General features: G+C 46.6%; 1 protein-coding gene across 13 annotated transcripts in view, besides 2 other annotated features; it reads right to left on the bottom strand.

Annotated features, from left to right (window-relative positions):
• Positions 1–24019, bottom strand: part of WDFY4 (WDFY family member 4) — a 298084-nt gene that overhangs the window by 159940 nt on the left and 114125 nt on the right. For 11 of the 13 annotated variants that reach the window (XM_011539988.3, NM_001394531.1, XM_017016463.2 and 8 more), the window contains 11 exons: positions 19658–19731; positions 17596–17757; positions 16922–17013; positions 15059–15158; positions 12282–12487; positions 11309–11478; positions 8935–9060; positions 5608–5772; positions 2580–2783; positions 1841–1955; positions 480–637 (listed from right to left, as the gene is read on the bottom strand). In XM_011539988.3, coding sequence (XP_011538290.1) covers positions 480–637; positions 1841–1955; positions 2580–2783; positions 5608–5772; positions 8935–9060; positions 11309–11478; positions 12282–12487; positions 15059–15158; positions 16922–17013; positions 17596–17757; positions 19658–19731 — 1572 coding nt within the window. Of the gene's footprint in view, positions 1–479; positions 638–1840; positions 1956–2579; positions 2784–5607; positions 5773–8934; positions 9061–11308; positions 11479–12281; positions 12488–14075; positions 14729–15058; positions 15159–16921; positions 17014–17595; positions 17758–19657; positions 19732–24019 lie in introns of those variants that run through there. The other 2 variants (NM_001370153.1, XM_011539992.3) reach the window with 1 other exon arrangement.
• Positions 20073–20132: an enhancer, noted in NCBI's record as "active region_3343". NCBI's record gives its function as "activates an Ori minimal core promoter by ATAC-STARR-seq in GM12878 lymphoblastoid cells {active_cell/tissue: GM12878}" and the evidence as "EXISTENCE:reporter gene assay evidence [ECO:0000049][PMID:35858748]".
• Positions 20163–20212: an enhancer, noted in NCBI's record as "active region_3342". NCBI's record gives its function as "activates an Ori minimal core promoter by ATAC-STARR-seq in GM12878 lymphoblastoid cells {active_cell/tissue: GM12878}" and the evidence as "EXISTENCE:reporter gene assay evidence [ECO:0000049][PMID:35858748]".

Genomic DNA, 24019 nt, shown 5'->3' with positions numbered 1-24019 from the left:
GCACAGGCAAGAATAAAAAGACAAGGTTAAAATAGATGCCTGTCTCCACTGCAGGAAGGCACAAATACAACAGAGTGAGTATTAAAGAAGAAAATAAAATAGGTCTTGTGAAGACAAAGGCCTTTGTGGTCCTTTCTTAGCTGAGGAGGTATAATAACAATTAAGGTCAAACCAACAATCACAATAAAAACCCAAAGGGAAGGAAGCAGGTTCTAGGAGTTTACAGAGCTCAGGTGCAAGTGCAGGGAGCTGAGGCTTCCAATCCCTGGGACTGGGCTCAGGGGGCCTGAGGTGAGAGCCCTGCTGGACATGCAGTAGCCTCCAGGTATTACCTGGGACTAAAGGGCCTCCTGCTTCCTCCCACCTGGCTCAGATTCTACTCCAGGGAGGGAGGGCAGATCCAGTGGAACCAACTGGACAATAGCCAGGAGCACATCATTCAGATCCACACAGATACCCGGTCAGTGAGCAGCTCTTACCACCATGATGTGCTCCAGGATGAAGAGGAGGATATGCCTGGGGTCTGCCGAGAACATCCCACTGTACAGCTTCTCCACCAGCTTCTGGGTGAAGCAGGAGATGTTGGCAAGAGAAGGGGCAGCAGCAGCTTCTGCACTTGGCTGAGGCTCTTTGCCGTCTGTGGAGTGAGGGGACAGGTGGAGGTGAGAGTCTAAATGGACTTCTGTCCATGACAATCTCCAAGCCCCCTGTAGTGACCAACTGCATCTTATTCACCTCTGTGTACCCCATGGTTCCAAAGATGGAGTCTTGTACTGACGAGGTGCCCAACACACACACATTTAATCAAAATGAACAGATCTTGAGTAATCTGGTCAGCGACATAAACCAAGTGGTGAGAAAGCAAGCAAGGTGAAGCATTTCTTCCTGTGGCTTTTTGGAGGAGGATGGGGGAGAATGTGCTGCTTGAGACAAATGAGCAGGCATCATGATGACCAGGGGCCCTGCTGCTACACTAGGCAGAGGATAAAGCCATACTGTCATTATCCATCTATGCTCACCAACACAGCAGGTACTGTGCTCAGCCATGTGTGTGATGATCTCAACTAACCCCTAGCACAACCCTGTGAGTTCACCACGACTGTCGTCCTTACTCACAGGTCCAGGCACCTGACTAGGGTCGCATGACTGTCCAGTGGCAGAGCCAAGTCCAGAACTGGGATTGCCAAACCCACACTTCACCACCCTGCTACTCTCCTGCATTCCAGTCTCTCCATGAGAAGGATCATGAAGTCAGGGCTTCTGAGTAGGAGGCAAGGAGAAGTCCAGAGTAGGACTCATGTTCCTAGGGATTCCTGTGGCTTGGGAACCACAGAAAAGGCTTTTGTTTAGGCTTGTTGAAAAGGTACAGCTGCCCTGGAACCAAGTTTTTTGAATGAACCTTCAATTTTAAGCTCTGAAGGGGCATGGCAGCATCTTCATCCAGGTTCATTGTTTAAGAAACATCAGCTGTGCACCTATCCCGTACCCAGGCAGAATGCTGAGCACGGAAGGTTAAATTGTGGTATCTTGGTTTCCCTTATGGGAAGAGGTTGCATTTCTACTGAGGCTACAGGAGAGCCGATTTTTGCTTAGAGGCAAAAGGGCTTTCTGTCTGTAAGTGGCACAGCATGACAAGGGTGTCATGGAAAGTAGCAAGCACCCCTCCACTGGGCCCCAAGGCAGGAGCCAGGGAGTTCTTGTTGATGATGCCTGGAGGGACTGACGCCAGGTGGAGGCAGCATCCCACAGCTAGGGTCAGTTCCTGGCCAGCATGCTGGTTTCCTCTCCACTGTCAGCAGCCTCATGTCATGAATGGAGGGGACCGAGTTGCCCCACTCACCTCTGAACATCGCTGCATCACCTCCACTTGTCATGTGGAATAGTTCCATAGCAGAAAGCAGGACCTCGGACTGGAAGTCTCGCTTCTGTTGGCTGGTGGCGTGGTCTGGAGAAGCCTGGAAGCACAGCCCGGGACTGAGACAGCAACCACAGGGCCATCGTGTGCACCCAGTGCCCACCGCCTCCCTAGCCTGGCTGGGACACTTATGCCGCATCTGCCAGCAGTGTGGGCTGCTCACAATTTTCCCTTCTCTGGGGGCCCACCCTCTGTGACTGAGCTGCCTCATCCAGGAAGCAACGCCCACTTCCGAGGGTAAGGAGGCAAGTCAGGGGAGCCCACAGCCCACGGCCACCTGTCAGGTGCCACAGGTGGGGCCGGCCCTGGGAGGCAGAGAGCACCCCAGAACCCCCCTTGGGCCAGGCTCCAGCTGGGACCACCTCTGGGCTAGCTTCACCTCCTGCCCCTCTGCTTCCCTCCCTGCTTCTCCTGAGAACACCGCCTCCAACCCACTGGCCAATAACTCACTTCCACAAAACTCCCACCTCAGGCTCTGCTTCTAGGGACTCTGTGCTCACTCCTCTATCACCTGTTGCTTTTTTGGGGCCCATGGTTCACAGATTCCCCTTCACTCGCTGTGGCCCCCAGGCCCTCTGTCTCCCTGGGTGCATCCTGCCCTTGCAGTGCCGGTATGCCGGCAGCCTCCACAGCACATGGCCCAATGTCACCTTTTCCAACCCACCTCCAGGAGCACCTCCAGGGGCAGCCACTGCTTGGGGCTGGAGGCTCCAAGCAGGAGCTCCCTCAAGAGGAGCTGCGTGAACTCCCTCAGCTTCCTCCGGGCGGGATGTGCCTTGGTGGGAGCCTGGAGACCCTCCACTGTGCTGTCGCCTTCAGCTGCGGCCTCAGGACTGCTGGTGTTCCGGGTGGACTCAGCCCCAACCCCCTCAAAGACAAGAGAACCCCAACATGAGTGGCCTGCCCTGCCTCAAGCTCTTTCCCACCAACCTGTGCCATGTACATGGGCGGATTATTGTCATGCCCAGTGACATGTACGGAAATTGAGGCTCCGCACAGGAAAGCAACTTGCCCAGGATCCAGCTGCTCATAAAGTGGCCTGCTACTGTTTGAGAATATGAGATGCCAAGTGTTGTGCAAAGAAGCTAAACCACAGAGTCAGAGAGGCCTGCAGTGTTCATGATGAACTCCAGAATGTGCCAGGAGCAAGCTGCTTCACATCTCCAAGCCACAGCTCCCCATCGGTTAAATAGAGACAATAAAAACCATCTGACACCGGATCTGGGAGAATGACATGAGAGAATAACGAACGTGGCAATGCCCAGCCCCTGGTAGACAGTCAGAGAGAGTCGGTGCCCATCTTGTGATGGGGACCCCACCTCTACCTCCTGCCCAGTCTCTGCTGATGCCCACAGACAGGCTCCTCAGGCAAGAACGGTGGAGAAGTGGGACTCCAAAGAGTTCTTTCCTCTAATTTCTGAAGCACTTTGGCATCCACTATTTTGTTTTATATTTATAAAATGTTGGGAGATCAACGAGACAGGGGTCATTACCCCAGATACGTCCAGGAGGACACAGAGATGCTGGAGGCTGAATGACTCACCCAAGGACACGCGGCCAGGGACTCCTGACTCCCAGCCCGTGAACTTCTCCTGCGCATTCATCTGTTAGCACCTCCCTTTGCTCATTCATAAAATTAATGCGGCCGTTCTTAATTAAGCCATAAAATGAATTTAATGGCACCTAGGGAGGTAGTGACTGCATTAATTAGCTCCGTGCGGCCTTGATTGGAAAGATGCCATATAAATTCACAGCAAATCCAAGCCTTTGGCCACCAGCCTTCTGCATGAAGAGGGTCTGGCATGTTTTCTATACAACAAAGGCCTTGGCAGAGCTGACTTGGAGCGCTGAAAAAGGCAAGGATGGCTGGGAGGTACACCTTGGAATTAGAGCCAGGAGCCCCAAGACAAAAGCCCGACCTCGCCCGCGATCAGCTGGGGATGTGACTCTGGGCCAGACCCTCCCCTGGGCAGGAACTGCTGACCATGGGGAGCAGGAGCCCTGGGTCAGAGTGTGCACCTGGGCTGCTGGCGGGGGCACTCGGCTGGAGCCCCGACTCAGCAGATGGCGAGCCTGGCCCTTGGGCATGGGGGCTGAGCTGGGCATCTGGGTAGAGAATGTTAGGCCGCTGGACCCCTGCAGAAAACCTGCCCAGGGAAGTGTCGAGGGGGAGCCTGTAGGCTCGCCCTTGATCTCTCCCTGGCCAGGCTGCCTGCGCCTCTGGCTGTGGGTCCTATCCCACCTCTCTCCTGCAAACAACGCTGCATTCCTTCACTCTTGTTTGCTTTTTTATCTTACTTTTTTAGTAAGTTACTTGATATGAATTCATCAAACTATTTCAAAACTATGTTATCTTTTTGTGAAACTTCTGGTCTTTATATTTAGTCTTTTTATTAAAACTACTTTTAAAGTTTATTTGGCCATTTAATTTTATTTTAAACTGACTGTAATGAAAAGGACAAGGCTTTGGGGTAAGAGTGAGATTTAAACTTTGGCTCCGTCTCTTGTTAATCGCATGAAGTTCAGTACATTTCATTCTTGCAATCAATCTGGGAGATGGGTTTTGTGACCCTCAGTGAGCCTGGAGGAAACTGGTGAGTGCCACTTTGCCTCTCTGAATCTCAGCTTCCCCTCTCAGACACCACCTTCATCAGGTGGCAATTCAGGTTTTCTAAAGCACCAGTTTCAGGAGATGGAGGCTGCCGCCATGGGTATGCTTCTGGAAAAGATTAGCTAAGAGAGCATGTTGCTCATTCATTTGGGCACTTAGCAAATGTTTATGGAGCAACCACTCCAGGCCTGGCATCACACTTGGCATGGATTATAAACCCCCCTATGTAGCATTGCTCACCTTTCAAATATGCTCCTTTAGCTACAGTTGGCAACTTGCAGGAAGACACGGTTAGCTCACTTGCCCTCACTGGGTCTCCACTTCCTAATCCACCAGAGTGGGGGTGGTTGTGTGAATTTCTGCCCTTCCTTCTTCCATACCTGACCTTCTTCTTTAGTCCTCACCTCCTTCTCGCTTCCCAGCTCCCAGGAGGTCTTAGCCTACCTGAGTCCCACACGGCCCTGACCCAGCCAAGCTTTGACCTGCTGGGCCTAGCTGGAGGCCTCAAACTCACATGTCTTCCCATAGCCCCTTCTCTAACCCCCAGAGCATAAGACCCAAGACCTCATCCTTAAATCAGGCTCTGCCCTCCCCTTGGCTTGTCTGGCTCTAAGCTGGGCCTCTGCAAACCCACTGCCTAGAAGGGCACACAAGTCATGGCCCAGGGGCCTGCAAGTTGGATGAGGGTTCCCAAGAGCAAAAGTTTTTGCAGGATGCACTCCCAGGACTGCCCTCCCCCATGTGGTGCACAGCAGCAGACTTCCTGGAATGGGAGTCACTGTCTCCCCTTGTCAGTGCCTGTGTATGCCACAGACAATGGACTTTATCTGCCATTAGACTTCTCATTACTGAGATTCTTAACAGCTCAAAAAAATTATTGAATCTCAGAGCTGAAAATGACCTCAAGGTGTATCTCAGCCAAAAAAGGATGGTTATCCAAGCTGCTTATTCAATGTTCCGCTCAAGTTGCCTTAAAATGTATTTTAATTTTAGGGGGGAGGGGAGGGATTTTGCCCTTTGCCCTTGAAGGATGATGATGCTCACAACTGCTCTCTCTGGGTGGGACAGCAGCATGTCCTACCTTTTGGGCTCCCAGGGGGAAGGCGGCTATGGCCAAGGTCTGGAGGAACTCCGGGGCTCGCCACGCTGGGTCCTGGGGGTAGGTGCGGTGGACGAGGCTGAGGAACTGCAGCACGCTGGCCGGGAAGGTCTGTGCCCAGGCACCATCCTCAGAACCTGCCAGGGGCTGAGGCACACTTGGTGAGAGGTAGTGCAGGGCAGCATGATGGGCGCTGCCTCCCTAACCAGAGGAGCTGAGGTCTAGGGAGAAGATTCCTTCCTGAGACTTTCAACAAGATACATTATTTAAGACTGCAGATTAGCACCAGACACTAGTGTCCAATTGAGGAAGGGTTTAATATGTGCAGACGTTGTAAGGGCTTCATACATATGCCTCTTCTCACCCCACAACAACCCTCTGAAGTAGGTTCTATGTTTACCCCTAGCCTTTTTCTCTTATCTTTTAAGTTTCTGCCTTTTATTTTTGATACTTGTCTACTGTATTGGGTAGATGATGCTTTCCTGACACAGATCTTGATTGTACCAAACTCACTGAGTAACTTTGTTATTGTTGTATATACATACATGTTAGATCTTAGAAGTCTGAGTCTTGTTTTTCACCAAGTCTAAAATTCACATCTTTAATATAGAAATTTAACCTTTTTATGTTTGCTGTTATGACATACATGTTTGGTCTTATATTTTTACTTCTCTCAGCATATTACATATTTTCTTTGTTTTAAATGCTTGCATGTGATTCCTTTTGTTTGCTTTATTTTGAATAACATTAATTGATTAAACAGGTAACAGATTCCTTATGCTCCATACAGAAAATATACATCTTTTCAGGTACCCCTAAATTAATTGCTCATTAGGCCTACAATAAAACCATGAATAAATTTCTTGAAGATGAAAAATATACAGATCACATGATCTGAGCAGGGCCAAAACATAACTAGAAATAGAGAACAAAAGTTTAAAAACCAAAAATCTTCACCACATGGACATTAGAAAATGTGAATCAAAGAGAGCTTTAACACTACAGTCACAGAAATTCCAGAACATAACAAAAAATGAAGACGCCAAAATCAAAATCTTAGAAATTGACAGAAATAAAATCAGGAGACTGATAAATGTACCCAAGAGCTGGTTATTTATATAAATCCACAAGCCTTCAACTCCTAAGTCACAAGAGAGTCCAAGAAGGAGAAAGCAGGACACAAACTGAGAATACGAAGGGAGAAACAATCACACAGAAAATGACATGAGTTAAAGGAGACCATTTGTGCAAATTAAATGAATGGGAAATTATTTTAAAATATTAATTAACTAAACTAGGTCAAGAAGACATTTAAAAGCCTAAACAAGCCAATAATAATGGGACAAATTTAGGTCCAGGCAATTTCATAGGAACAATTAAAATAATATAAAAATCATGGATTTAACGTCTTGCTGAATACAAAGAAAGGAGAGAAGTCTTTTTTATATAATATTAGCATAATACTGATGTCAAAACCTGAAAAATATTTTTCAACAAAAACTAAATTGCAGACTAATATCATTTATAGGATGCATGAAATCATAAAGAAAATACAAACAGAATAAGGACAGAGTGACTAAATGAGGTCTTTGAAAGAATGCAAAGAAATCTATTGATGTAATTCATCATAGGAAACTGGCTAAAAGAAAAAAAAAAAGCATAGGATTATCTAACTGTGTGCTAAAAGGGTATCTAATAATAACGATAAAAACACTTCTGAGCCTGGCCAACATGATGAATCCCCGTCTCTACAAAAATACAAAAATTAGCTGGGCATTGGTGGTGCACACCTGTGGTGTCAGCTACTCGGGTGGCTGAGGTGGGAGAATCATCCGAGCCTGAGAAGCAGAGGCTAGAGTGAGCTGAAATCACACCACTGCACTCCAGCCTGGGCAACAGAGCAAGACCCTGTCTCAAAAAAGAAAAAAAAAATCTGTTTCAAAAAGGGCAAAAAGTGGGATCTCTACTTTCTCAGCATAATCCCACACACCCAGAAAAACTGGCAAAAGATATAATCAGGCAATTGACAGGAAAATAGAGAGAGAGGAAAATAAATAAAGATAGCTAATAAACATATGAAAAATGATTTCAACCTCAGAAATAATAAATGCAAAAGAACTCAACTATGAAGCCATCATCAGTTTGGCCATGATGTTGAGGCTGTGAGGATGGGGCTGAGTCCTTCTGAACAAGATAAGGAGTTAGATATTTGCTGGTGGGATGTGTATGCATAATGACTAATGCAATCTTTCTGAGAAGTACATCCAAAAGAAAACGCCTGAAGGCACACTTTGACCTGCTATACTACATCCCAGAATACACTAAAGAGGTCATCAAGACAGAAAGAAAGATATTTGTTTAAGAAAGTTCATTACAAACAACACTCTGTAAAACAACATCAATTTCCATTACAAATACAAATGATTACCATGTTTTTTCACTTTATTTGCATGAGAAGAGGTCCACAAATATTGAGGAAAAAAAGGCAAAAGGGGTACATGTGGTCTCATCCTCTGTGAGGATATGGTCGAATCTTGGAGAAGTATCTGGAAAGATTCCACCAAATTCACAGTGCTCATTTTTGGGTGGGTGTGTGTCAGGTGGGTGTTGTTTACTTTCTGTTTTTCCCTTTTGTTTAAATGTTAAAGGTAATCATGTATCATTTTACAAAAGCAGTAAGTTTCCCCATACAATCAGGCCTCCAATTGCCTTTGGTGCCTACAGGATGAAGTCAGAATTTTTCAGCCTTTTCTGGAAACCCTCCCTGACCTGGCTTACCATTAATTATTCCTGTTCACAAGTCACATGGCCTCTACCCAATGTCTAAAATAACTCTTCTGCTCACCACCCACCTCTACTGGACCTTGAAGGCTCAAATTAAAGGCTTCTCACTCCCGAAGACTCCATGCCCTGCCTGTAGCTGGCGGCCATCTGCCTTCTCTAAGTCAGGTCCCTTCCCCAGGTCACTCATGAGCGAGGAGATGGACTCGTTGAGAGGAGAGGCCCTTCCTCCTCCTAAGAAATGTTCCCTTTGACTGAAGGCAATAAATCTTCCAGTGAAGAAATCCCATGCTTAAACAAATGATAAACAGGTATCACCTGCAAGAGCACATAAAGCTCAGAGACCTATAGGCTGGGTTTCCAGTTGTGCCCCTGAGTCACTCTAGGAACTTACCTCACCTCTTCTACAGGATCTGGCTAATTACTTGCATTAGTGGGAAGATGCTAAGAGAAAAGTCAAGGTGACCCTTCCAAACTGGCCTTCCCATCAGAACCTCCTCGGGGCAGCATGTGGGGAATGGGTCTCACCTGGCTCATGGTGGCCTTCAGCATTTCCAGGAGGAGCAAGGCACCTTCTGTGCACAGCCCAGCCTGGAGGACTTCTTCCTGGTGGTGCCTCTGCAGGAGCCACTGAAGCATGGCATCAAGGCTGTCCTGGAAGAGGAGGCAGGAGCTGTAAGCAGACCTGCGGCTACTCACCAAGAGAACGAGCTTTGCAGCCAGTTCATCATGTTTCCAGGGGTTCCCAGTGGGAAAAGCAAAAGAGCACACTGGCAGCCTAGGTGGTTGATCCATAGGAACAATTTCACCCCAGTAGATGGTGCATAAGGGAAACAAGCACCTCCAAGAAGGTGCTGAAGATCCCCTAGAGACTGGCATGTAGTTCAGTTATTTTGGTCTGACATCATAAGTAAATATGCTAATCAACTTTAATTAACTTTTGTAAATTAGATTATATAAGACATATAAAGAATTCAAAGGTTTCAGGGGAAACTTCAGCATGTAGAGGTATAGAGAGATTCTAAACTTAGGGTTTAGAATCAGGATGGCCTGATTCTGCCTTTTTAATAGCTGAGCTCAGGCAAGCTATTGAGCTTCTTGGCAGTTCATTTCCCGTCTCTGTGAAATGAGAATTACATTATCTACCCCATGGGATTGTTTAAATATCAAGCAAAATAAAATATGTAAAACATCTATCACAAGTTCCAACACTTAGCAGACATCTGTTTCCTGAGATATGTTAGAGAAATAAAAACTCAGGGTATCAATGACCTTAGTACAGCATATTAAAAACTTTATTTTGAAGTGTAATATACAATGCTATTAGCATATGTCAATATTTAGATTTGTCAATTATAAAGATATACAAGAGGGGTAGATTTTTTAACCTTCTCTTGGCAAAGCCACGCCCCTCCCATATTTCAATTCAGTTAGGTTTAACTCAACTCGATTGAGACCAAGAAATAGTTTCTAAGTTGGCTATTTGTCAGGTTCCAGGAAGTTGAGTGAAAGGTGGGTCCGTTCTTCAGGGGCTCAGTTTCTAAGGAGGCAGGCACACATTTGTATTGGTGCCATCCATATAGGGTAAACTACACTGAGGCACAAAGGAGGAAATGGTCTCCTCTGTCTGGGGGTCTAAGTAGGAAGTAGCATCTAAGCTGAGTGCTGAGGGAGGACACTCCCACCAGGCAGACGATGGTGGGAAAGAGGAGTGAGTAAGGGCAGCAGGGTGGGTGAGCACAGAGCAGCCAGTCTTACTGAAGATGATTTAGGAGACTCACAGCTGAGGGCGGGTGAATTGCAGCTGGGTTGGAAAGATACATCAGGCAGCCAGAGATGAGGGGGCTTGGTGCCAGCTATGGAGTCTGACCTTGATGCTGCAGGTGTGAAAGTCACCTGAATTTAGTGCAAGGGAGAAGGTGCATACGGTGAGCACAGACTCCTCTTTGGAGAAATGTGGCCAAGGAAGGATAGGAAAGTGATCAATAGGCAGCATTTGGTCAGGAGTGTTATCAAGGGGCAGCCTCTGGTTTTAGGTGGGATGCAGCTGAACATAATTATGGCTTATGAGGAACGGGTTGGTAGAAAAGGAAAAACTGAAAATACAAAAGGAAGAAAGGGGGCCGGGTGCGGTGGGTCACGCCTGTAATCCCAGCACTTTGGGAGGCCAAGGAGGGTGGATCACCTGAGGTCAGGAGTTTGAGACCAGCCTGGCCAACTTGGAAAATCCCTGTCTGTACTAAAAACACAAAAATTCACCAGGCATGGTGGTGGATACCTGTAATCCCAGCTACTTGGGAGGCTGAGGTGGGAGAATCGCTTGAACCCAGAAAGCAGCGGTTGCAGTGAGCCGAGATCACGCCACTGCACTCTCCCAGGGTAACACAGTAAGACTCTGTCTCAAAAAAAAACAAAAAAAACAAAAAAAAAAGAAAAGAAAGAAAGAAAGGATAACTATGGGATGAGGTCACCCAAGGAAGGAGCTGAAGGAATCCATGACCAGCCTTGAAAAGTCTCCCTGTCCTAGCAACAGGGGCAAGAAGATGATGACCTAAGTGGGTGGTTGAGGATGAGGGGCTGGGGTGCTGGGGCAGGGCCACCCCAGCATCATGTCATTCCCCTAGCTGTGCCCAAAAGGAAGGTTTTAAAATAGAACTGATCCAAATCAGAGACTTGCTGGGAGGAAGGATGGGAGCAGAGGCCGAGGAAGTCAAGGGCCTGGAAGGGGAGCATTTGAAGGGCTGGCCAAGGGTGTGGGCTGCTAGGGAGGGAAGTGGGCCAGCACCCCATCTGAGCTGGAAGAAGCAGAGGGAGGTAAGTGCAGAGGGTCTTGGCGACCTGCCTTAGTCATGTGGAATCAGAAAACCAAGTGTGTCACCCTGTGGGTGCTCTGAAAACCTACTTTGGGCCCGTCCATCAGCTCTGTGAGTGGTGTCTGCAGGAAGAAGGTGGAGACGATGAGGTAGACCTCTGGAATGTGGACGTGGTGGGCCAGAAAGTCATTCAAGACACGGAACCCAGGAAGCAGGCATGGGCTTTGCTCAGGCAGTGGTGACTGGCTCTTCAGGTTGTCTATTGATCAGGCAAAGGGGGCACAAAAGTCAGCTGAGAACAGCTGCTGGTCAAGGTGGGGCCTGGACACACAAAGGAACACCCGGCCACCCACCCATCCCATAGAAATGCTGGATGATAAAATATATTCACACATAGATGGGAGCAAAAAGGCACTCAACAGTAGTTCCCTTTGCTGTTCCTGACATGCTCATTCATTCACTCAAAAACATACTTGCTGCCCACCATGTAGGAGGCAACAGGGCAGCTTTGAATTAGGCAACAAGGGTGTAGGGTTTCAACCAAATATACAGAATTCCAGGCACTCATGAAGCTTGCATTGTAGTGGGAGGGACAGACATTAAGCAATTAAATACTCAAATAATTATGAATTTTGTGAAGCACTAAAGAGAAAAATAATAAGGGCAGAGATAATATAACAGAGGTGTCCCAATTCAGGGAGACCCCTCATCTCCTGGAGGAAGTGGCATTTGAACTGAGATCTCAGGATGAATCCACATCAGGAGAAGAGGCATCCCCTCAGGAAGAGGAAGCAGAGTATACAGTGCCCAGGAGAACAGGGCTAAGCAGGTGGGAGGAATGGAAGGCAGCCTCCAGTGTCTGTGCAGTGAGGCTGCGGGGGATCCTGCAAAGGATGTCAGGGGGGCTGGGCTCATTTGGATGTAGGCCTTGGAGTCAGGGCTCGAGGTGATCCTGCTGCACAGAGCTGTGATGGTCTCAAATAAGAAGGGGCCTGGCTTGGTCCTCATTCACATCCCAGGACTAGGTGGTGCCCCACTCCCTGGAGACAGCCACGTGCTCACCCATTACAATATCCACGCCCTCAGTGCTGCGTTCCACCCAGGATCCTGCACACAGGCCATCTCTAAACCGTGTGCGGAGGGAGGGGCTTGCCAGAAAGTACAGCAGCAGCTTCAATGCCAGCACAGTGGTGCTGGCATGCAGGTGGCCCTGCAGGAGCAGCAGGAACCAGTCAGGCCCCAGTTTCAGAAACATCTCTTCCTTTGACCTGGGGATTAATAAATGCAACCAATGTTCTCTCAGTCCATGAGCGAGTGACATGTCCAGAAAATATGAAATGTCCAGCCTTACAAGTCACCAAGGAGAGGCAAGTTAAGGTTAACATCACTTATTATGTATTACATTTAAAAAGAATAGTAAAATAAAATGCTGGCAAGATTGTTGTGCAAATGATGCATTTGTCTATTAATGGTTGCAGTGTAAGTTGGCCACAGCATTTTGAAGCAATTGGAAACTGTGTATTCATATAGGTAAAAATGCGCATGCCCCTTAATAGCCCTATATAACTACTATTCATACTTACACAGTGGATGACTAGCCACCCATCTAATTTAATTACCATCAATGTAGTCACATAAAACACATAATGAATATTCCCCTCCCTTTTTAAAGACACTAGTCAAAATTTATCTAAATGGCATAGTTCAATATTTATGCATTTTTATCAGTTTTAGCACCAAAAAAAAAGAAACATGATTAACGTCACTTTCAAAAATGATGAGTCTGGAGAATACAGACTTGCTGATGGGACCTGGATGAAACAGGAGGGCAGGGAGATGAATGGCCAATGGGTTGGCCAAAGACACTGGGTTCAGCAAAGGACCCAGACTTTTGGGAACAAGTGAAGGCTCCACCTGTGTTCTCAGCTGACACACTAGGCATAGTGAGAATCTGGCTGGTATCCACTGAAATGAGCACTGGACTAGGAGTGAAGAGAAGAGGCTGTCCTCTTTTCTAGCCCTGCCTCTGATGTTTAGCAACTGGATGACTTTGGCAGAGCTCCTGATGTGCTCTGATCATTTTCCTCAGTGATTATGTTGATAATGATGGTGATGATGTTGATGGTGGTGGTGGTGATAGTGATTAACGTTGTGGTGATGTTGGTGGTGATGATGATGATGGTGGTGGTGGTGACAGTGATGATGTTGATGGTGGTGGTGATGTTGATGATGTTGATGATGGTGGTGGTGATTATGGTGATGGTGATGCTGGTGGTGATGGTGATGATGTTGATGGTGGTAGTGGTTATGATGGTGGTGATGGTGATGCTGGTGGTGAAGATGCTGATGGTGGTGGTGGTGATGGTGATTAATGTTGTGGTGATGATGGTGATGATGCTGTTGGTGGTGATGGTGATTAATGTGGTGATGATGGTGATTAATGTGGTGATGATGGTGATGGTGGTGAGGGTGATGGTGATGATGGTGATGGTGATGATGGTGGTGATGGCGATTAATGTTGTGGTGATGATGGTGATGATGGTGGTGGTGGTGATGGTGATTAATGTGGTGGTGGTGGTGATGATGGTGGTGGTGATGGTGATGGTGATGATGGTGATGGTGATGATGGTGGTGGTAATGGTGATGGTGGTGGTGATGGTGATGATGAAAGAGATGGCCATAATAGCAATTAGCTTACAGAGAATTTACAGTATTCCAGGCACCATTCTCAGGATTATCCATATATTAATTCATTTCATCTTTACTATACTCACCTATTGAAAGTATTAGGTTGGTGCAAAAATATTGGCAGTTTTTGGCATTAAAAGTAATGAAAAAAACACAATTACATTTTCACCAACATAATACAATTTTTATTCTCATGCAGATGAGTAGAGAGAGGCATACAGGGCTTAAGTAGCCTCCTCTGGGTCCCTGGGGACAGGGCTAGGATTCGAACCCGGAAGGTATAGATGCCAGAGCCCAGCTGTTAGGCACTGCACTACATTCCCTTTCAAAAAGATGGAAAAGAAAGTGGCTGGACTATCTCATTTCCAAGGCATCTTCCAGTTCTACCATGTTTTGATTCTAAGAAAGAAAGGATTTATAGGCTGGTAAATTATTAAACACTATTTATAAAGCTGCTTTACTGAGGGGTAACTCTTTACCCCCAAGCCCAGATGCATATACAGGTTGAGCAAGGATCCGGGCTGACTTGCTCAGCACTGCATCCTAGGAGCTGGGAACAGTGTCTGGCATGCAGTAGATGCTCAACAAATTAGGTGTCAAATGAACGACTCCAAGGTTGGAGGTAAAGCAGGCAGGCAGTGGGGAGAGTTAATGGAATCAGCTTTATGATTACACTTGATTTTAGAAGTTAATTGACGGTAGATACTTCTTTTTCCAACTTGGAAAAATAACAAACTCACTAACAGTAAATAGCAGAAGAATTTGGCAAGACTTTTCCTTGATAGATGTTATTTAGGCTCACGATTTCTTCATTCTATTGTCTGCCAAGTACAAGACATCAAAATCAGTAATTGTCACAACTGCCAAAACAATAACAATTACACTATAGCTATGGTGACAAAAGGAGTTTATTGTAATTATACCAAATCTGTTTCTAGTTACTCATGTCCACTTAACATTTGCATCAGAATATCTTAGGGCAAGGTCTGGTTCATTGGGTAGAGAGAATATAATTTTCTTTCTGACTAGTGCAGGAAATACATTGCAGAAAACAGACTCAGAGATGCTAAACTTTTCATTAAGAAAAGGTTTAATGCCACACCCTGTATGAGGTAACCTCCTGCCAAATTGCTCTTCCTGGAGCTACTTACTCAGAGGACAGATGAAGCTGGGGGGAAGATATTACACTGAGCAGCATCTCCAGCAACTGGTTTCTGAGCCAGATTGTCTTTCCAGATGTTTGGCTTCCAGCTACAAAAAAGAATTCAGATTTGAGAGAAAATGGATGTAAAGAGACATAATATTTGCTGCAGTAAGCAATCATATTCACCAAATGCTTATTTCACCCAGGAATTGTGGCATGGCTGGGACTCAAAATTTTGGCATTTTATTCCAGCCTCCACACAATGCTTAAAAAGAATTTCAGAAAATGTTACTGAAGTTTCCTTTAATTAGCAATGTCTGCAATGCTGCACATCTTCCAAAAAACAAAAATCCTAAAAATAATAAAGGAAAATATACCTTTCAGTAGAAGAATTTTTTAAATTATTATAGGCTGCAACATTTCATAATCACCTACTATGCACTGATATTATGCAAGTAATCAGGAACAGAGTGCTGAAGACCATGGTCTTTGTTCTCTTTGTTCCTGCTTTCAACTTGCTCCCAGGCTAGGCTTTTGGATGTCTATGCTACAATAAAAACAGAACTCAAATCATAGCAGAGGTATATGGAGCAAGGGGAAGAAGAAACTTTACTTCTGAAGAGTCATTAAAGCCCAAAAGGACATATTAACAATGCTTTAATATGTTGGTTAGGTAAAAGTTTCAGAATGCAGTTCATATGAGAAGGAAGGTTGACTAAATAAGTTCACTCTTGGCCCATTACCCATTTGTTCATTCCCTCAGTTGCCAGCAATTTCACACCAATACAGGGCATACACCACGCCATACTGTAGAAATAGGACTGATGAGGCAACCTGGGGAAATGGAGTCATATTTCCGTCTATTCAGATTTTGGTCCCATCTTCAATTAGCTCCTAATCTCATTGAACCTAAATTTCTTAGTCTGCAAAATGGGAATAGTAATTTCTTGCGGCTTGATCTAAGGATAAGAGATAATACTTTATCTAGATTAAAAAATGCTATCCAGGAGACTCTTTTGTGATGATAAAACTGTTTTATATCTACCTTGTCCAATAGAGTAGCCGCTAGCCTCAGGTAGCTAGTGAGCACTTAAAACGTGGCTACAGTGAGTGAGGAATTAAGTTTTTAATTGCATTTAATTTTAATTAGTTAAAATTTGAATTTAAATGGCTATATGTGGCTTAGGGGCTCTCGTCTTGGACAGTGCAGAGCCGCAGGGCCCAGGACAAAGCAGTTGTGATTGCTGCCATCACACTGCCCTAGCAGAGGGAACAAATTGAACAAGACACAGCTGCAGTTCTGCACCTGGCTAGGCGAAAAGGGAGACTCACATAAACAAACTACAAATCTATTCAGTAGGGTAACCCCAAGGGGCTTTGGAAACACAGAGAAAGTGACTTAATCTGGTTTGGTGGGACTGGGGACAGCTTGGCTAGTGGGGGAGGGGTGGCATTTCCCTTGAGTGAAGAGCACGTGCCAAGCACGGACAGAGGGCAGGCCATCACCTGCAGGGGCCTGCAAGTGCTTCACTGCTGGAGTTGGGGCTCATCAGGAAAGTAAGGGGTAGTGGGGGTTCAACCAGGAAGTGAGGCAGGATCCCGGATCCCACATGCTGGTCTACAGGGAACTGATTTTATTCTGGAGGCCTGGAACACCAGTCCCACATTTCAAAGCAGGAATCTATAATTTTATTTCATTTCTGACTCTCATCATAAAATGACAGCCTCACAGGCCACGGCTTGGAAACCACGGCTTGGCTGTGGGTGCCTTCCCCTTCCTTACTTAGCCCCTCCCTCTGCACAATGTGGGCCTCTCAGGGGTTCCGTGAGGGCCGTCCTACTGCCTTCGAACTGGCAAAGGTCTTCTCACCAGGCAGGGAAGGGTCCAGGGCTCCGTCCATGCAGATCTGCCTCTCATTCACCGACGAAGGCTTGAGGGTGTACACAACAAACAGCCCAATCCTTTATACACAGGGAGAGAAGGACAGGCTCGCAGGCGGGCTCAACTGAGTCCGCTGAGTACATGCCAGTGTTTTCACATAGACCCACCCACGTGCAGCTGCAAGTGAGAGTTTAAGGGAAATCATCATGGCATGCTGTGTATTTCCAGAGACTTCTAAAATCAGTCAGGATTCACCAGAGACGCTAACTCTGGCTCTACCTGATCAATTAGATAGTGACAGGAAAGAGAAGGGGAAACACACTGGTGGCTGGGACTGCTCTTCAGGAGTCTGCAGGAGCCAGGCATGTGGGTCATTGGCTGGCAAGGATGGCAGTGCTTATGGAAATTCCTGAATATTTGGCCACAGTGGGGGAGCCTGAGCAGTGGGAACAGTAAACACACAGCCCTGCTGGGGAAACCGGCCTGTCCCATCCTGACTTCAGCAAACCATCCTTTCCCCAACTCTCAGCCCTGGGCAAAAATTCCTAGAAGGTTCCAAGTGATTCAGGGTTGAGCACAATGGGGAGAGAGCTGGGGTCTGTCCTCCCTTTTTAAACAGCCCTGGGGCCCTGCTCTTCCCCCTGGGCAGCTTGGTGTGGTACCTGAGCAAGTCCTGGGTGCTGAAGTGGCCCCTCAGCTGACAGGCCAGGATGCCAATGATGGTGGAGATCTTGGAGGGGATGAGGCTCGGCTCATTGAATAGGAAGATGAGCTTGGGTATAAGCTGTGCCTGGTGGGCAGCTTCAGCATTCCTGGGTCCTTCCCTGGTGAGTACAGGAGAGAGACAGTAAAAGCTTTTACTGGAATGAACCAAATTTGCTGTGTTTCTGCTAAAAAGGTTTTTCAAGCCAGGCTTGTTCCATGGCCCCTTAACTCCAATGCTCTCTTGGCAATTTGTCAAGATGCCGTCAGACACCCATTGAATATGTGTCTGCTAAGTGCCAGAGTCGCTCGGGTGTGCACTGCCTGTCCCCTCCGCCCCCCGGAAACCACCTTCAAAGACAAACCCCAATTATTGACTTTTAAATTCTGAGCCCCAGGGAAAACTAGTGCTGGCCTCAGAAACTCAAACAAAGACAGCAGACACTCATGTGACTGGGGAGTACTTCCCACCAGCCAGGAGTGCAGGGCCCTTCACTAGCTTGTCTGGTTGTGTGATCTTCCTGCCCGCCCCAAACCACAAAGTGGAGAGACACGCCACTGAAAGTCAAAGGAGAAAAAGACAGAATCCACCTATCCATACCCCCTCCCTCAGATACTCACAAATCCAATTTCCAGTAAATTCTACTCCCCCAAAGAAAACAGCTCCCAGGATAAATATCTGTTTCTTAGAAAACAACTGGTACAGGTACAGGAACAAAGTGGAAAGTGGAAGAGAAAAAATGGTGGAGAAAAATGTGGAGGAGGGTGACTTTGGGCAGATTCCTCACTTTGAACTGTCTTTTTTTTTTTTTTTTTTTTGTATTAACACATTAAATTCTGCTGAGCTCCATCTCCCTGATACACAAAAGAGGCAGGACCAGAGCCCAATTCTGTGTATGATTTATAATTACAGGCTCAGCAGAGAAGACAGATGCTCCTCTACCCAGAAGTCCCGGCTGCCCTTGGTTCTGTTTCCTCTGACAGCACTGAACAACATGTTTTTCTGTATTCTCTTTTTATCAGACTGTGGCTTATTCTTCTCTGAATTTTACCTCTAAGTACAGGGTGCGAAATGTAGTAAGTTTATAATAGATGTTCATTAAGTGGATGAGTGGAAAGCCATTTACAAATACATTCAAAATGCTGAAGGCACCAATGAGCTCTAGACCAGCCTGAGCCAGGAGGAGGCAGGTGGGGTGATATGTGGGCTTCCTTGCCTTCCTTCTCTCTTATTCTGAACACAGCCCCTGGCTCCCTTTGGGAACTACCACTTTCTAACTCCAGAGGGGAAGCCACTTTCCAGCCCAGTCATGGGACACAGTTGGCTCAATGAGACTCAGTCCAATAGCTAAGACTGTTAAATTTTTAAAAAGCTGTCTCTCTGCCTATGGTGCTAAGCTGAGGATGTGCTCTGAGGAGCTGCCCAGGAGCCACCTTCTGCCACAGAAGAAAGCCCGGGCAACCTGAAGACTGAGTGGAAGAGGCAGAGGCAAGAGTGGTGACAGAGCTCAGAGAAAATGATGTGAGCCTCCCCCAGCTACAGGATGAGATCAGCTCTTTTCAATTGTAAGAGCCAACGAAGTCCCTCTTTACTGGTCTTTTCTTCCTGTATTCTTTTTTCCCTCCTCCCTTCCTTCTTTCCTTCTCTTTTACATCCCTTAAGCTGGTTTGAGTTGTATTTCTACCACTTGAAGGGTAAAAGAGCCCTGACTAATTCCAAAAGTGCCTTGGAGAAGTCAGTTAGAGGGAGAGTGGACCTTTGCTGGTCACAATTGCTGAGCCCCCAGTATGTGCTAGTCCCTGGGGCTAGAGAGGCCTCTAAGCCCCCAGCATCTGCCCTCCTGAGGCCCGAGACCATGAGAGGAGACTGCCCCACAAGCATGAGCCACTGGGAAGGATGTGCTCCCATTTGGGGACCCAGTGTTCTGGGAGCAGGGAAGAGCCACTGGCCACCCTGCCCTGTCTCTGTTCTGGACATTCAGCCTTCAGTTCTAACCCCCAGGCTGCCAAGACCCAGCCTACCTTGGTGATTGAAGGATTTCCAAAAGATGGGAAAAGAGGCTGAGCTCCAGATTGTCTGCAGTATTCATCCAGAGCTGGAAGACAAAACAAAACACATGCTAAAATGAAGGTGTGGGAGAAGAATGATTTGCAGGAAGCATGAGAAGGTCAGTGCTGGACAGGTGATCCTCTGACGTGGAATCATCAACATGATGTACCAGCTCTGGAATCAGATCAGCTGTCCTGACACTCCAAGCAGAGAGGTGCCTCCCCTGTAGGAAGGCCTTCTCTCGCCATCTCTGCTGCTACTTGGCACTTCATTGTGGGCCTGGTTCCAACCAAGGACGCCTGCACTAACCATCTCCCCCATCTGCTCAGCCTTGGGCCCACAGCCCAAGTGTCCATATTGCAAACTCATCTCAACCTCCCTGGATCCTGCAAGACAAATGATGATGTTCCCACTTTACAGATGAGAAAATAGAGGCTGAGACAGACCAGCTGAGTGACAGTCTCCACTCACCACCAGCAAGTGGCAGGACAGGAAATAGAAGCCAGGTACAGATTTTCAGGTTTTACACTGTACTGACTACATACCCAATTTGCGCAGGCAACACATTCTTCAGCCCAAACCACAGTGTCATCTCATGCATGACAAAATTGTAAGTGAAACAAAGATATGAAATTCACTGAGATTCTGAAAGTGAAGTTGATCACTCAGGTTGTTTTCATTCATAGTAAACAAATGTAGCTGCTAGTGATCCTTCTGGGGCAGAATTGATGGATGCCATCATGTCTTATTTCTACTTCCCTTTAGAGAACTCTAATATTTTTCTTCTCTAAATACTGACAGTTCCTAAGGCCCAGACTATACAAGGTTCAGGTGTGGGATTATAAGCGTGCACTCATATAGCAGCAAAAAGAGCTTGCACTTAATAACTGATACATTTCCTGGTGGCAAGAGGTGCCATAAAAAGACCCAAAATATTATTATCCGCATTTATGTATTTATTTTCTTATTTTTGAGAGACCCAAGCTGGAGCGCAGTGGCCCAAATATGACTCACTGCAGCCTTGACTTCCTGGGCTCAAGCAATTCTCCCACCACAGCTTTGCAAGTAGTTAGAACTACAGGTTTGCACCACCATGCCTAGCTAATTGTTAAAATTTTTTTGTAGAGTGGGGTATTGTTTTACTGCCCAGGCTAGTCTCTAATTCTTGGGCTCAAGTGTTCCTCCTGCCTCCACCTCCAAAATTGCTAGGATTACAGGTGTGAGCCACCGTACCCGGCCTATTATCTGCATCTAGTAGCTAGAAAGAATGGGACTCAGGGAGACTAAGTAACTTTTCTGGCACCAGACTTTTTTTTTAATTGGCAGAGACTGTTTTCAAAGTCAATCCACCTGACTACGAAGCCCATTCCCTTGCCCCACACTGGGTACCCATGGGTATCACCTACAGATAGTGACCCATAGGGTCAATACTCAACCTTGCTTGAAGCTAAGCAGTTACCCATGACTTTGCTTACTCTTGCTGAAGAGGAAATGCAAAAGAACCCCAGTGAACACAAGTTTATCGGGAGGCCTGTGAAGGTAGAGACTGTCCCTCTTTAATCCCTGGAACCTAGCATCATACATGCCACTATCTTTCGTAAAGATGCATTACATTTTTTAAAAGAATGAGTGGATACAAAATAAAATAAAATGAGTGGATTGTTCTTCCGCCAGGAAAAGAGTGACAGATTTCCTGCTTTTTTAAGCACAGCCACTGCCCAAAGGCACACACAGAGGTGGGCCAGCTGCCATTTGGGACAGCTGGTATTGATGAAGGCAGCTCTAGTGAAAACATGGGTATCCAGCATGGCACCCCAACATACATGTCTGTAGGGCTCCAAGAGCCCTGCACACTTAGGATATTGATTCATGAAGGCAGTCATTCAACAAATGATATGCCAGGCCTGGGGCTAAGGGCTGAGAGAACTAAGAAAGTCAGATGTGAACCCACCAGTACAATAAGGTGCACCTTTTACACTTCCCACAAAAGTTCCAGCCTCTCACATTTCCTTTCCAGAACACAGCAACAATAATAAGTTGCCACACCCATTTGAGGCTGCCTAGCTCATCAGGAAATTACATAATGCCAAATGTCAGAATTTTGGGAAACATGAATAACTGAATCTTTTGATTGTTATTCTGTGTCACATAAGCCTGTACTAAGGACTATATTAAGATGTCTGGATTAGATTTGTTTGAGTATGGACTGTATAATGTGTCAGGTGTTGCTCTCTCCCCACCCCTGAGATGACTGTACTCTTAGAAATGAACTAGTCAGTTCCTTCTTTAAGAAACCAGAGGCTGGGTATGGTGGCTCATGCCTATAATCCCAGAACTTTGGGAGGCCGAGGTGGGTGGACCATCTGAGGTCAGGAGTTCAAGACCAGCCTGACCAATATGGTGAAATCCCTTCTCTACTAAATATAAAAAAATGAGCCTTATGTGGTGGCACGTGCCTGTAATCCCAGCTACTTGGGAGGCTGAGGCAGGAGAATTACTTGAACCTGGGAGTCAGAGGTTGCAGTGAGCTGAGATCGCACCACTGCCCTCCAGCCTGGGCAACAGAGTGAGACCTCATCTCAAAACAAAAAAAAAAAAAAAGAAAGAATGAAAGAAAGAAAGAAAGAAAGAAAGAAAGAAAGAAAGAAAGAAAGAAAGAAACCAAAACCTAAGACTTAGAAGCCCACAACTTCCTGTTCCTCCCTGATTCTCAACTTTCTGTCCAACCCTGCCTTACAACTTCCTATCCAACTCTGTCTTACAACTTCCTGTCCAACCTTGCCTCAACAGCTTCCTGTCCCTCCTTCCCTCACAACCTCCTGTCCCTCCTTCCCTCACAAATTTTTGTCCCTCCCTGCTTCAACAATCTCCTGTACCCACCCTCCCTCACAGCTTCCTGTCCATTCCCTTCTCAATGACTTCCTGTCTCTCCCTTCCTCACAACTTCCTCTTCCTGTCTGCTTCACACCAGTCATCACGGATCCCACCGTTTCTCCTGTGATCCACTCTCTTGTCTCCAAACCCTCTGAGGATGTGTCTCATTAGCAGTTTCTTCTCCCACTACTATTTTAACTGTCTGGTTTTTACTGCGTCTTCTCCTTCAACCTACAAACAGACTTAAGTCTCTTCCATCTTAAAACACGAAACCGGCTGGGCGCGGTGGCTCACGCTTGTAATCCCAGGGCTTTGGAAGGCCAAGGTGGGCGGATCATGAGATCAAGAGATCAAGACCATCCTGACCAACATGGTGAAACCCCGTCTCTACTACAAATACAAAAATTAGCTGGGCGTGGTGGCACATGCCTATAGTCCCAGCTACTCGAGAGGCTGAGGCAGGAGAATCACTTGAACCCATGAGACAGAGGTTGCTGTGAGCCGAGATTGTGCCACTGCACTCCGGTCTGGCAACAGAGTGAGACTCTGTCTCAAAAAAAAACAAAAAACAAAAACCCAAAACCAAAAGTTCTGAAACTTCCTCTCTGCTATTTTCCAAAGTCCACTGACTGCCTCCACTTTCAGTCTCCCCACACTTCCCCTTAATTCTTTGTTTGTTTGTTTGAGACGAAGTCTCGCTCTTGTCGCCCAGGCTGGAATGCAATGGCATGATCTCGGCTCACTGCAACCTCCCCCTTATGGGTTCAAGTGATTCTCCTGCCTCAGCCTCCCGACTAGCTGGGATTACAGGCGCCCGCAACTATGCCCACCTAATTTTTGTATTTTTAGTAGAGACAGGGTTTCACCATGTTGGCCAGGCTGGTACCGAACCCCTGACCTCACGATCCACCCGCCTCGGCCTCTTCGTGCTGGGATTACAGCCATGAGCCACCAAGCCCGGCCGTTTCTCCTTACTTCTGAGTGGCTTCTGACCCCACAACTTACTTGTCACTAAGTCTGTCAGTGACCTCCAATGGGCACGTACAGTGCACACATCCCTTACCTCACTTTACTTGGTGTAGGCAGAACATGACATTTGGGAAACATTTTTCCCTTTTTGAAATTCTCTCCCCTCAATCTTTTAAATTTTATTTTGTTTCATTTCATTTTGTTTCACTTTGCTTTGCTTTTTAGCATCTGGTTCTTATTGGTGGTTTATTTTCTTAAATCCAGCTTTAAAAGCACCAGATCTCCTGAAGAGGGTAGTTTTATTCAGGGTGGGGTGGGGTAGGGTGGTGTCCATGGCCATTCTAGTAGCAGGCAATGGAGCATGATGGGTTCCTGCATTAGTAATTCCTGGGCCATGCTGGTGGCCAGGACACCTTGGAGCCAGACTGGCTGAGCATGGCCACAGCACTTCAGAAGGGGCAGCAGCGGTTGCAGTCAAGACACATTATCTT

Source organism: Homo sapiens, chromosome 10 (genome assembly GCF_000001405.40).
Source record: "Homo sapiens chromosome 10, GRCh38.p14 Primary Assembly".
NCBI classification, from domain to species: domain Eukaryota; kingdom Metazoa; phylum Chordata; class Mammalia; order Primates; family Hominidae; genus Homo; species Homo sapiens.
Note: the sequence above shows the minus strand (reverse complement) of the source record. Positions and strands in the feature narration are given on the sequence as shown.